This window comes from Homo sapiens, chromosome 20 (assembly GCF_000001405.40).
Source record: "Homo sapiens chromosome 20, GRCh38.p14 Primary Assembly".
Classification (NCBI taxonomy): domain Eukaryota; kingdom Metazoa; phylum Chordata; class Mammalia; order Primates; family Hominidae; genus Homo; species Homo sapiens.
This window is the reverse complement of record NC_000020.11, coordinates 9,550,197-9,565,186: the sequence shown is the minus strand read 5'-3', so window position 1 is coordinate 9,565,186 and position 14,990 is coordinate 9,550,197. Positions and strand designations below refer to the sequence as shown.

Genomic DNA, 14,990 nt, shown 5'->3' with positions numbered 1-14,990 from the left:
ATTTCAATTAATATTAACATGAATACTAATAAAATTAATATCATAAAATATATTGACCTGTATTACTTATATTTATTAATGTAAAGTAGATTTAATGACCATTTTAATGGCCTTATAATCTTCTATCATATACATGTATCAAATTTATTAAACCAGTCACTGATTTAATAAATTTGAGGTAACTTTAGATGTATGTGGTTCTGTGACTTTCTAAATTTCACCTAATGTTAACATTAATACTAATAAAATTAATATTAAATAAAATATATCAGCATACATTACTTATTTTTATTAATGTAAAATAAAATATATTAACGTATTCTATTAGCTACATGTCAAAACACAATTTTAATGGCTTAATAATCTTTTATCGTATACATGTATCATATTTAAAACCAGTTTCTGATTTATACTGTTTCCAATTTGTCACTTTTATTATTTTGCAGTGAGTGTTGTTACACATAAGTCTTTGGCTTCATATCTGATAATTTATTAGATTCCTAGAAGTAGGATGAACAGATCAAATGATATGTACTTTTTTTAGATAAATGATATACAGTGTTAATTTCTAGAAAGTTTGTACCAATCTAGACCCTCACCAATAGTATTGTTTCACCTTCACTAGCGTCATTGAGACTGTCATGTTATCTCTGTTCATCTGCTAGATATGAATAAACCTTACTGTTTTCATTAGCACTTTTATTACTAGTGTAGCTAAATTGAATTTTATGTGGTTATAGGCCATTTTTATTTCTTCACTAAATCATATGTTCTGTACACAGTTTTCAATTAGGGTGCTAGCATTTGTTTTATTGATGTGTAGGAGCTATTGATATGTTAAGGAATTAACCCTTCTCTGTATATTTGTTGTACTTTAATGTTTACCTTCCACTTTCTCATTTACCTTTTAAACTTATCACTTAAGAGCTCTAAAATAGGTGGGGAAACATGAGTAATTATGTTAGAAAACACATAAAGTATTTTGGAGTAATATTCTTTTAGTAATTTTATGAGAGCATTGAGGGGAAAGATAAGTTTTTGTGGATGAGAGATCTAAGTCCTAAAATATCAAGTCAGGGTATCAGTGTTAGATGTTAGTCTCCAGGAAAGCATGTACAATCCACATCTTCTAACTCCCAGAACAATCTACGGCTGCTTGACCTCTTTGTCTTTCTATTGTAAGGACTCCCATTCTCTGAGAAGTAAGAAGGTGTTTGGTCCATAAACAGGCACTGTACAAATGCACTCAGCTGCAATTTTGAACTCTGTTTATCATGGAGGCTCATATGAAGCCCCCAGTGGCCTCCACACATCTCCAGCTCCCACGGGTGCTTATTTCTTACACACGCTCCAAATCTCACAGAGAGTTCCAGGTGACTGGGCTTCAGCATCTTTCCAGTCCACCATTCCTGGTTTCTGGAATTTATTTTCCAAACCACAATGCCAGAACACACAGAGCAATATGATGTAGATAAATAATTCTGTAGTTTATTATTTAACACTAGCTCTGAAAACTCGAGTGGAAACAGCCACAGGGCAGCAATTTCTGGAAGCTCTCTCCAGCAAGCAGGCTCCTTAGCCTTTTTAATTTCTATGCCATACTTATTTTTATCTTCAATATATATTCTTTCAATTCAGCCCAAATATCTCTGAAGTTCAACCCATACCTACTTCCAAGGAGAAGTTAAGTTGGTCTTGTGTGGCTCCAGTTCTAATAATAGATAGTTTACTTCATTCACTTGTGGGACTCATTCCCTCAATTACTACGAGTTGGTGACCCTTTGCTAGGATAACCAGCAGAGGACTGTGAACAGTGCATTCTAAAGGAGACCCTTAGAGATATCTGATCATATCCCCAAAGATGGTCAACCAAACTCCCTCTTGTGAATGCAAATCTTGCTTTGGTTCTACTTGTTTTCATTTTCTCTCTGTGTCTCTCCAATGTCAGAGTGACCTGCCATTTTCTCTCAAATTTGCTACCTTGATTCCTTTTATTTCTACTAGCTACCCTTGATGCTTTTTGTCTGTAATAGATTTTCTGAATAAACTTCCCCACAATCAGTACCTCTCAATCAGTTTACTTACAATTGTAGTTGTGGCCACAAGAGAACAAAAAGCAACTTCATCTTCACAAGTCAAAAGTATATTTCCCGTTTCCCCAGGTCGTGATCATGCGGGATTACCACCATGACAATGTGGTTGACATGTACAGCAGCTACCTTGTCGGCGATGAGCTCTGGGTGGTCATGGAGTTTCTAGAAGGTGGTGCCTTGACAGACATTGTGACTCACACCAGGTAGGCTTCTTTATTATCCAGAGAATTCGAGGTGCTTCTTATTCTTCTCCAGGATAAAGCCGCAGTGACTATGAACTCTTCATAAATTGCAGGCACTTTGGAGTCAGGGAATATGACTACCCTTTCCCCTACATTCCCCAGAGGGCCCATTATGCTCTCAGGCATGTATAGTTCATTCATTTGGTGAATGTTCTCCCTGCCCTCAGAAGGACATTAATACCCATTGATTTAAAATAAGCAACCTGCTAAGAATGAAGCTTCAGTGACAAATAATAGAATGTCCTGTCGCCTATATAGATTTCTAAAGCTGAATTTCATTCTCCTGAGTTACTCTACCATTGCTGCATGCTAAGACACCAAGGATACCAGGGGAAGGAAGGGACAGGGAGAGGATCACTTGAAGTTTTGTATCAAAATAATGAATCTGGGTGGCACAGAGAAATTCTGCAATTCTGTTTTAAAATATGCTTGCAAGTAACGATGGTTAATTACCAGCCTATTGCTTCAGCTATTTGCCTCCCTGATGTGCCAGTTCCAGCCATTTCATTAAGTATTTATTGAGCACCTTTTATGTGCCAGGCTGTTTTGTAAGTGGTAGAGATGCAGAAGATACAAATGAATGTGGCTCAGATATATCCCCTCAGGGACATCACTGATGAGAAATACATTATAATACCTGTGCAGAATTAAGAAGATATATATATGTAGCATAGAAGAATACCTAAATGTCTCTCTCAGAAAGAGTCAATAAATATTTCTATTTAATATAAGGTGACATCTGAGATGGATTTTGAGAGCGAATAGGAGTTCACTAAGAAGGCAAGTAGGAGGAAAAGGGCATTGAAGGCAGAGGAAAGAATATGTGCTAGGACAGTGCCTCTTCAATTTCAGTGTCCACATAAATCACTGTGGATCTTATCAAAATGCATATCCTGACTCAATAGAGAGGGTGTAAGATTCTGCATTTACGGCAAACTTTCAGGCAATGGCAATGCTGCTGGTTCATGGACCATACTTGGAGAAGCAAGGTTCTGTGGAATAGACATACAAAATAGCATGTTACATTTGGGAAACTTTAACTTTGGTTTTGATGGTAAATAAAATGCCAAAAAGTTAAGGAAGGATTGTCATGAGGAAGAGGTATTGAGTGTTAGCTGATGTTATTGAAATGGTACCTGAATCAAAAGTGGATCCAGGTACATAATTGGTGGAAAACAAGGTAACAAGAAAGTACTGGGAAACCCTGTGAAGTATAAAACATGCTGTTTTTTCTCCACTGAAATGAGATGTTACGTGGCTCTACAGTTCTCGGTCTGGAGTAGGCTATCTCAAAATAAAGCTTTGTGAGTGAAGACATTTATCACCAACAATTCAGCTGGCAGACTCTTGATGTTGTAGCAATAAGACATGCCCAACAAAAAAACACATAAGATCATCTTAATTGGTAGAAACAAATATACTGGAAAGATCTAAGCATAAGGCAAATGTGATATACATTTTTTGCTTTTCACATATAAAGCAAAAAATAAAAATATATTCAGGGGAGAAACCTTTTTGTTGCCTTCCAGAGCTTCATACAGCCACTCAGGTCTCCAGCTCTACCTTTGTCAAGGTTCCTTTCCATTCTTATTTTGTATCCATGGAAACCACTCAAGACAGTCTGTCCCTAAAATCCATTTTCTTTTCTAATTTTCTCATCCAGGATTGTCAACTGATTTCCCTTTTAAAGACCCAGTAACTCCAGAGGCAAAACAAAATTGTGTGTCAAGGAACACCATGAATACTTGGTATTCGAAATCTTAAACTCAGAATTCAGAGAGCTTCCTTTAATAGATATTGAATAACTGCTTTACTGAATGATTTATTGATCGGTTGATAAAACATCTAACCCCTTGCAACTCCAAGTGCTGTCTGAGGACCTGGGAGCTTGTTAGAAATGCAGAATCTCAGGTACTACCCCAGACCAACTAAATGAGAATCCATGCTGTACCCAAATACTCAGGTATTTCTTATACATACTGAAGTGTTAGCATTAACTTAACATCTTGTTACGTCAGATCCTTCTAATTTCCAGGAAACAGAGGGTTATAGAAGGGAAGGGAAAGTGCCAAGCACCATCAAGCTCTTCATATGTTAATCATGTAACCATCACATATTTCTATGAGGCAGATGCTGATGTACCTGTCTGCCAGGTGATGAAGCTACAATTCAAACAGGAAAAATATTATTGGCCAGGCATGGTGGCTTATGCCTGTAATCTCAATACTTTGGGAGACCAAGGCAGGAGGATCACGTGAGCACAGGAGTTCGAGACCGGCCTGGGCAACTTAGCGAGACCCTGTCTCTATTAAAAAAATTTAAAAATTAGCTGAGTGTGGTGGCATGTCCCTGTAGTCCTAGCTACTCGAGAGGCTAAGACAGGAGGATCACTTGAGCCCAGAAGTTCAAGGCTGCAGTGAGCTCTGATTGCGCCGTTACACTCCAGCCTGGGCAACAGAGCAAGACTCTATCTCAAAATTTTAAAAGGTATCCTTCTTAAGACCACACATTTAATAACTGATACAGCCAGGATTTGAATTTGAGGTTACTCTAGAACTGAAGGGTTTTTTATTCCATGCCAAGCTTTTTTCCTATAGGAAAGAAGTAGAAGAAGAAATGCACCAACGATTCTCCAGCTGGCCATGCTAATTTCAAAGACACTGGATTAGGAAGTATTTGTCACGTGTTCCAGTCAAATAGGATCTTTCTGTTAGTGACTAGCGGTTAGATTCAAGTAATTTTTGATATAGTCGACCTGTAAAGAATCTTTATACCTCTTTCAGATAACTCAAATTTCACGGAATTCAAGAGAAAATAATTTTATTAAAGATGGTGGTTCTTGGTTCTGAATTAATTTGAAGGTATATGTGAGCTTGTCCCTGCTGCATATACTGTAAACCTCTGAGGAATGTGTTTTTCCACATGTGAAAATGGTCGTGTGAAAACCATTCAGGATAATGACCAACATACCACAAAACCCAGAACACAGAAGTTGTAGGCTTCCTCTGTTTCAGGCAAAAACATTTCTTGTCACCTGCCTTTGTATGAGACTGGTGCTGTGGAATCCTCTTTTGCTTTCTTTTTTTTTTTGAAACAGAGCCTCACTCTGTCGCCTAGCTGGAATGCAGAGGCGCTATCTCCGCTCACTGCAACCTCTGCCTCCCAGGTTCAAGCAATTCTCGTGTTTCAACCTCCTGAGTAGCTGGAATTACGAGCGCCGGCCACCATGCCCAGCTAATTTTTTGTATATTTAGTAGAGACAGGGTTTCACCATGTTGGCCAGGCTGGTCTCGAACTCCTGACCTCAGGCAATCCTCCCACCTTGGCCTCCCAAAGGCCAAATCCTCCTTGAGGGGAAGGGTGTGTTTCTTCATACTCATCAACTTTATACCTTTGGTATTCTCCTAATTGGCTACCACTTTATACCTTACTTTTGAATCCCATCAGGATTTTCTAGCATCAACTAAACTGAAATGAAAATTCAAAGCCATTCATTTCCTTATTCTGCTGACCTTAGATTTACCTGGGATTACTGGAGTTTCACAAGTTTGTCCTTAAATTTGGGCTCTGGTCATTTACACCCTCTGTCTCTCCTGACAGTCTCCTCTGTTTGGATGATAGTTCGCTTTAGGACCTCTTTTACATTTATTATTTAACATGGGATAGGGAAGAAGTTTTGCACATAGATGAGTTAGGCAGCTGCCTAAATGAGTCATTTTGAGGGCACTGAACAACCTGTGCCATCCAAATAATTCTCACCTAGATTCCTCTGTGGCTGAACTATTTCACTCATTAGGAAAATCCATTCATTCAAGTGGTGAGGGCAGTGTGGGAAAATGGGAAAGTGGGAAAGTCGGAAAGCGTGCGTTCTGGACTAAAAAAGAGGTGGGGTTTGAATCATGACCTGGCCATTTCTTAGCTGCGCAACCTTGGGCAGTTAGCTGACTTCCCCCTCCCCCTCTAAAACTGTGGAGAAGGAAAAACTTTCTCCACAGGGGTGCAGTCATGAGATATGGGAGGCCATAACCAATGCTTTGCTTCGTTTCTCATTCCCATGGTCCATTTATTAAAATACTATCCATTCACACTCTGTTATTAGTAACTTCCTAGGTCCAATTTCCTTTTGAGAGAAGGGACCTGAAGCGACAAAAACCTCTAGCTCCTTGGAGGAAGAAGAGAGAGGGTGAATGGGAAGTAGGGTGGGTCCCAGAGGGAGGATTAGAGATGCAAAGACCACTTTGCCTGAGCTCAGCCTTGAAAACTGTGGCTGTCCCCATTTCTAAGATGAAGAAAATAAGACCCAAGGAAGTTAAAGGATTTTCTTATGATCATTTAACAGCCACGCCTGAAACCTTCATCTACCTATTCAGTGTGCTGACTCTGTGGGACCCTGGAGGCTTGTTGATGCCTATGGAATTATCTGTTAAGAGTTCATGGAGCCCCGCACAGTGGCTCCTGTCTGTAATCCCAGCACTTTGGGAGGCTGAGGCGGGTGGATCACCTGAGGTCAGGAGTAGTTCAAGACCAGGCTGGCCAATATGGTGAAACCCTATCTCTATTAAAAATACAAAAATTAGCCGGGCATAATGATGGGCGCCTGTAGTCCCAGCTACGTGGGAGGCTGAGGCAGAGAGAATCACTTGGACCCAGGAGGTGGTGGTTGCAGTGAGCCGAGATTGTGCCACTGCACTCTAGCCTAAGTGACAGAGCAAGACACCATCTCAAAAAAAAAGGAAGACTGCACTCCAGCCTGGGTGACAGAGCGGGACTCCATCTCAAAGAATGAATGAATGAATGAATGAATGAATAAATAAATAAATAAATAAATAAATAAATAAATAAATGAGTTCCTGGAAGTGCATTTGCATGAATGACCAAAAAGCTGACAAATAGTGATCTCTTTCCTTTGACTTATATTTGGTCCCTGTCATTCTTAGTGCCAAGCCTTTTTTCTGGGAGTCAGATCCCAAAGACTTCCTTCCCTTGTCTGCAGGTTTTTCAGATATGGGCTGGAGCACGTGGACTGTTTCACTAAAGCACAAGGGAGCTGCCTCTCTTGAGCATTTCAAAGATGTTCTTAAACCTGTCTTGTTCCTTAAATGTTATTTCCTTTCCAGAATGAATGAAGAACAGATAGCTACTGTCTGCCTGTCAGTTCTGAGAGCTCTCTCCTACCTTCATAACCAAGGAGTGATTCACAGGGACATAAAAAGTGACTCCATCCTCCTGACAAGCGATGGCCGGGTAAGATGTTCATGTTTGGCCCGTTCGTAGTTTTTCTTGTCACTCTGTCTGTCATGGGCATAACTCTTTTAGAAACACTTTTTTATAACTCTAATTTTTCTTAGTCACAAGTCACCTACTTCTCTTCCCAGAACACTTACAAAAAAGAAATTACCATCCCTTCCTCTGTGTCACCTTGTTAGTCAGAATTGCCTGACTTTGATGGATAATTTGCCTCCTTAACAATGAGTATAGGAAGTAATAGAAACTATGGCTATTTCTTTTCCTTTTCTGCCACATCTGTTTTTTGTTGGAGGAGAAGAGCTGACTCTTCTAGGGGTGCATCCAACCTATTCACATGAATACATGTGTCCACATTACCTTCCAGAGCCCGTGCAGGTAACAGATGATCAACTCCACTTGGGTAATTTGAGGATGGTGTAATAAAGGACAGTTTACAAAAGCGTGGGCAGATGTAGAAAAATCATAAGGAATAGTGTATGAGGATTAGTGCAGTACTTTATAATGGAACATTACTCCTACTACCCCATGCCTGAAGTGGTGAGGCAAGGTCCTGGCTACTAGAATCTGGAAATGGAGATTGCTATAGATTTCGGAGCTGCCTGGAGGGTGCTCTGATCTTTGGTAGAAGCCAAACCAAGGTGAACCTGCAGGATGAGAGCTGAGAGAATAAATCCTCCAACCTCACTCTTCTTCCTTCTAGTGTCCTACTGGTGCTCCCTATTGGCTGAAATCAGCTAGGAGCCAAAATGCAGTCAATATAGGTTGGTTTCCTAAGGCTTGGAGGAGGGAGGAAAATGGATCCAGTAGGACAAACAGAGGATATTTATCACACTGGCAAACCTCTAGGCCCAGATTTCCGTATTTCACATCACTGCAACCTGTGCAAGGGATTCTGCTGAAACTCATCAGCCACACCAGGGCACAGAGCATGGAATATAACAGCCAAGGAAATAACCAGTTGACATTCCAAGGAAGGCTTAGTTAAATGGAAGAGTTTCAAAGCATAGCTCTATACCATTAGGCTCTCCGGAGCCCCCTGAAACTCCCACCAGAGGCAATGGCCTTGGCATGAATGGAGCCAACCATTCCCTTGATGTTCCTGTCTTTTACACCTGCAACCCCTGCCACATGGAAAATGTTCATGTCATATCAGAAATTGCCCAGGAATGATCAGAGGGCAGCCAGAAGAAACTGTCCAAGCACTTTGGCTTTTCTTTCTTGTTGTTTTAAAAAGATTGTAAATATTATTGTAGAAAATGTAGTAAACTCAGAAAAGTATAGAGGATAAGACAAAGATCACTCCTAATCCCATTACCGATTTTTCCCGTATTTCCATGTACATGTATACACAATTTGCAAACTTGGGAATGTGTTTAATGAGGAGTTTTAAGTCCTGCTTTTTGCATTGCTTTAACCATTGCATTGCTTCTCTTAAGAAAGAACGGTACAGTAGAAGCATGTATCAGTCAGGTTTTGCTACATCCACTCAACAGTTAGTGGCTTAAAACAACCACCATTTATTTGCTGACTTATCTCTGAGCCAGTATTTGTGCTGACTCCTCTGGGACAACTCATCTCTGTACCAGCTCATCTCTGCATCATGTGACATCAGCTGAGCTCCCTCTTGCAGTTGTGATCAGCCTATGGTGATAGCCTTACTCATTTGCTTGGCAGTCAGCTGGCTCTCAGCAGGGACAGTGCAGGTAACAGGGCCAAGTATCACTCATCTCCGAGTCACCTGGACTTACTCACATGATACCTGTAGCAAAGTTCCCAAGAGCACCAAAGGAGGCAAGCCCTGATGTGTAGGCCCTTTCAAATCCTGTGCTTATATTATATTTACTAAATATTCAAGACCAGACTCAAGGAGTAGGGATATAAACTCTGCCTCTTGATAGGAGAAGATGCCAAGTCACATTGCAAAGGGATGTGGATACAGGTAGAAGAAGACTGTGTATGCATTTTTTCTTAATCTTCCATATGAGTGGACAGCTATGAGAAAAGGTCAAGAATCCTCCCTGGCCTGACTCCGGAAAGCACCTACGCAAGGCTCCACGGTGTCAGAATGCAATTTGCAAAGCATTAAACTGGTCTAGCAGAGCAATTTCAAGAAAGACTTTCTTTCCCTGTTTCTAGAAATTTATGGTACAGGCTTCCTTGCTGTAAGATCATATCCAGTATCAAAATCAGAAATGAGACTAAGAAGTCATTGTTTAATCAAATTACTTAAAGATCTCCCCTCCCCTCAATGTGCAAGATTTTTAAATCATTGAGTTGTCATTCTCAAGAGCAGAACCTTTGTCTCAAACACCTCCTGCATCCCTGTGCACCCTGTAAAGAGCTCACATAAATAGACACATTGTAGATGCTTTTAGTCCTTATTGGTTTGTTCTCTCATTCATTTACTGAACATTTGCTGAATGTCTGCTACGTGTAACAGACAGTTCTAAATCCTAGGGATGAACAAAGCAAAATCACTTCCTCTAGTAAGCTTATTTGGGGACTGGGAATGTGATAATAAACAAATAGATAAATAAACAAACAAAATCCCCACCAAACAAGGGGTGATAAATACTAAGTTTCCTAGGATTAATTTAGGCATGGTAAGGAGAATGGGGAGTGATGGAAGTGATGGGTACTGTCTTATGGAGGCTGGTCAGAAGATCCCTCTGATGTGGTGGCGTTACAGCAGAGACATGGGGGACTGGACCCTGTGGCTGCCAGAAACAGGAGCATTCCAGGCAGAGGAAGCAAGAGCATATTGAGTGGATCTTGTGCCTCTTGGCCATTTTGTCCAGAGTTTACTCATTCATGTTCAGAACAGTGCATCATATTGACTCCAGTGGTTTCTCCAGTATCTGTAGGAAAAGGAAACTTTTCTTTTAAAAGAGAGCAGAAATGGAGTGTGGCTACTCCAAGAAAAGGCTTAGAGTGTGTTATTATATGAGTCTATTAGTGTACAACATTATATAGTGGAGAAGACTTTTTCAATTATCTATTGCTGTTATAACGAAGCATCTCAACATTTAGAGTCTTAAGTCAACAGTCATTTTAGTATTGTCTCTTATAGCTCAGCAAAACAGTGCTGCTCTGACTTGTGGTTAGATAATGCCTGGGGCCAGAGTTATCTGGAAGTCATCCTCACTCACATGTCAGGTAGTCAGTCCAGGCAGGCTAGCTGGAGCTGCCACCAGATCACCTACAAAATAGGTGGCCTCCCCATGTGGCTTGAGCTTCCTCATGGCATGGCAACTGGGTCCCAAGAGTGCGTCCCAAGAAAACGAGGTGGAAGTGCATGGCATTTTTATAACCTAGCCTCAGAATCAAATAACATTACTTTCACCATGGTCACAAGCCCTTCCAGATTCAGGGGGCAGGGGTTTAGAGTCCTCCTCAGTGTGAGAAAAATTAAGTCATATTGTAAGAAGAGCTCATGGGATAGGCAAAATTATTGTTGGCATTTTTGGAAAATACTGTCTGCCACACAAGAGATATTGGGTTCTCTTCCTGTTTGAAGATGTTCAACATCATTGGCCTTTGAGAAATGCACATTAAAACTACAATGAGCTATCACTGCACACATTTAAGAATGACTAAAATGAAAAATAGTGATAACAACACTTATTCATACACTGCTCATAGGAACTTAAAATGGCACAGCCACTCAAGAAAATACTTTGGCAGTTCTTTTTCAAAATTAAAAATGGACTTACCATACGACCATCACTTGCACTCTGAGGCATTTATCCAGAGAAATGGAAACTTATTTTCCCACAGAAACATGTACACAAATGTTTATAGCAGTTTTCTTTATAATAGTTCCAAAGTGGAAACTACCTAAATGTCCTTCAAAGGGCGAATGATTAAACAAATAGTATTAATATATCCATGTCATGGAATACCACTTAACAATAAAAACAAACAATTGATACACACGAGAACTTGGGTGAACCTCAGGGAAGTTATACTGAGTGAGAAAACACCAATCTCAAAAGGATACACACTATATGATTCCATATATTTATATATATACACACACACACACACTCATGAAATAACATAATTATAGAAATGCACAGCAGATGAGTGGTTGGCAGGGTTTTGGGGCTGTGGGAATGTGTCTGTAAAGAACAGCACCAGGAAGTCCTGTGCTGATGGTACAGTTGGGTATCTTGATTTTGGTGGTGGTTATAATAGGTTGGTGCAAAAGTAATTGCCATTACTTTTAGTGGCAAAAACCACAATGACTTTTGCACTGTTCTACACAGTCTCCCAGACTTCTTCAGCAGGATCAAGCTCTAGTTGCCCACCGTAGTAACTCACCGGGTAACTAGCCTTCCCTTGGTTAGCTGACTAGTTGGCAACACATGATACAATTTCAGAGTATACTTATATACACTACACACACAATGAGTTCATTTGTAACTGATGAAATTTGAATACGTTCTATAAATTAGACCTAATCAATTTACAAGTGTTGATATTGTACTGTAGCCGTGTAAGATGCGAATACTAGGGAGAGACGGGTGCACGTTGCAACTTCCTGTGGATTTATCATTATTTAAAAATTAAAAAGTTGGCAGGGCGTGGTGGCTCACATCTGTAATCTCAGCACTTTGGGAGGCTGAGACAAGAGGATTGCTTGAGCCCAGTAGTTCAAGACCAACCTGGGAAACATATTGAAGTCCCATCTCATCTCTACCAGAAAACTAAAAAATTAGCTGGATATGGTGGCATTTGTCTGTAGTCCTAGCACCCTGGAGGCTGAGGCAGGAGGACTGCTTGGGCCCTAGAGTTTAAGGCTGCAGTGAGCCAAGATCATACCACTACACTCCAGCCTGAGTGATAAAGTGAGACCCTGTCGCCAAAAAAAAAAAAAACTAAAAAATTTTAAAAATTTTTTAAAGTTAGGAAAAATGACCGAGAATTGCTCAGGTTTGAAAGAATGAATGCTTTCTGTCCTCTCAAAAGACTAGATAAATTATCTTTTATCAACTAAAAGTAAATCATTCAATTATTATCTATGGCATAAGTAATATCTAACGAGTCACTAATTTGTGTTAAGAAGGGAGAATGTGGTGTTTGGGATTTGAAAGAGGAAAATAAATAGTATCTCACAGAGTGGCTTAGGAATGAATAATGTAATGTGTGTAAAACCTTCAGAAGTATACCAGGGACAAGGTAGATGCTAAGTCAGAAGGCATTTCCTCTGCCCTTGTAATTAAGTGTTGTGTAGAATCATCATGACCTTTCCTTGGCCTAGGGCCAACATTTGATAAATGAATTACTTAGGGGCCAGTGAGCAGTGAGTGACTGACTTTGACAAATTCATTGGCCGGAATTCAAACCCATGACCCGCTAAGTCCAATAAGTTTATGGAAAAGAGACACACACAAGTGGTCTTTGTGATCTCTTTTTCTTTTTACTATAAATTGATTGCCACAAATCAAAACTTGGAAGATGTCATATAAAATGTCAGATTCCTGTCTTCCTTGAAAAATCAAAGGGTCTGGCAACACTGTGCCTGGATTCACACATCATGATAAGGGAAGTGGTATAAGGAGGGTGAGTTGTACCACAGCAAATGCCGTTGGTGCCCTGCCCAGATCTTCCTGCAACTTCCTATTTCAGTGATCATTAGTTTCACCTCCAAATGCCACCATCTGCATCTTTATGCCTGAAGACTTCTTTTTCTGGCCACTGTTATCTGCTTTTTCCATAACGTTCTCTAACTTTACTGAGCATCAGAACCCACTGGAAAGCTTGACAAGAAACAGATTCCTGGGCCCCAACCCCAGAGATTCTGGTTCACTCAGGCTACGTGGTACCCAGGAAGCTGCATTTCTAACAGGCTCTCAGGTGAGGCTGATGCTACATACATTGTACACTGAGTGCCATTGCCTTACAAAGAAGCACCCAGAAACTAGGCACACAAGTAGCCCCCTTTTGCATTAGCCAAGACCCTAGAGCAGACACAGAATTCTTTAGAGTGCATGCAGTTTACAGAGCAAGGGTTTTTACATTCTATCTTTAAACCTGTAGCTGCCCTGTGGATAGACTCTCTTTTGCCCACTCTCACTAGCCCCCAACCCTCCACCATTCTTTTGTGGGAACCCTGATTCCTGGCCAGGACACGTGAGAGATGGATAGGATCTCATGTTTAAATTGCAGCTTTGTCTGAGTTCTAAACTAAAGTTCCTTGTGTGGTCCTTGTGTAACAAGCTACATTTTCTCCTTTTAGGGGGCGGACAACATACTAGTGGTAGTTCTCTTAGCCTAACTGCATTAGTGAGACGAAGGTGGTTTCCTAAGCAGCCCAGTTGCACAATTCTACCCAAAGTAAGGCTCAGCTTAGCGTCTATGTGATTTGCTTTTAAGATCTGCCTACAGTGCTTTATTGTACTCATTACTTGAGTTCTCATTATCTACTTGCAGATTTATTTGGACAAATGTTGTGTGCAATTATGTTCTTTTAGAAAATTGTCCCTTTTATGTACTTGGATGATTAAAGTATCATGCAAAAGCACTTATACTCCTACAGCAGCAGAACAGGCCTCACTTCCAAGTGTCGAGTTTCAATTGCTCATCTCACATTTTGTCAGGGAGATGGTTATTAGGATGCCAGATTTTGAGGGGTTTGGGCATTTTTCCTGCCAGCAAAGAGAAACCCACACTAGATATACTGAAATTTAAAACTGCCAATAGCAAAATGCTGATACATTCACCTCCTTAACCATTCAGGTTTCTTAAATTTATAGGCAAACAAAACTGGAACGTTTGTTCCTCCTCTACTCTCTGTGTATTGGGGTTGCAAATTTACTTACACCCTAGTTTTGGAAATAAACACACACACACACACACACACACACACACCACAATTATGGTTTCTATGCTTCCTAAAACTAACCCAGACTTCTTCACAGAGTCCTACTGGCTAGATTCTTTTTAAAAATATCTATTTTAATTCAATGCATTAAATTTAGTTGGCTTGAATGATTTGAACATTGTCTATCAAAGTCAACTACATTATTATGAGGTATAAATGATACCTTTATAAACCCAGTCTTTCAGATTTAACCACCACCTACTCCCTCCTCTCCTCTCCACCTTCACTTATTCCCAAGATGGAGTGTGGGAGGAAAGACAAGCATGGCTCGTGGGACCTCAGGGTGAAGGAGATAAGAAGCATCTTCTTGTTCCTTTCTCCTCCCTGCCTTGCTTTCATTGGACTCTCCTGCTACCTGGACTGGTGACCAGGTAGCAAGATTGACTGGTCCTACTGGTGGCTGGGCTGTCCAGGGGCTCACCTCTGCTGTACATCACAGTTGCAGCCTCTTCACTCACGGGTGAAAAGGTGCCCTACAGGCTGCCTCCTTGTCCCAATCACAGGCTTGTGCCAGACCCTTCC

The 14,990-nt window shown here is 40.5% G+C and overlaps 1 protein-coding gene and 1 long non-coding RNA gene across 8 annotated transcripts in view; one reads left to right on the top strand and one right to left on the bottom strand.

The window, feature by feature from the left end:
* LOC105372523 (uncharacterized) overlaps positions 1-2,246 on the bottom strand; it is a 44,234-nt gene extending 41,988 nt beyond the window's left edge. The window contains exon 1 of the long non-coding RNA XR_937250.3: positions 2,086-2,246. This is a non-coding gene — a long non-coding RNA (uncharacterized LOC105372523). The remainder of the gene's footprint in view (positions 1-2,085) is intronic.
* The window catches only part of PAK5 (p21 (RAC1) activated kinase 5), a 301,707-nt gene that overhangs the window by 273,890 nt on the left and 12,827 nt on the right, over positions 1-14,990 (top strand). For all 7 annotated transcript variants that reach the window (NM_177990.4, NM_020341.5, XM_017027960.2 and 4 more), the window contains 2 exons: positions 2,163-2,296; positions 7,453-7,579. In NM_177990.4, coding sequence (NP_817127.1) covers positions 2,163-2,296; positions 7,453-7,579 — 261 coding nt within the window. The remainder of the gene's footprint in view (positions 1-2,162; positions 2,297-7,452; positions 7,580-14,990) is intronic.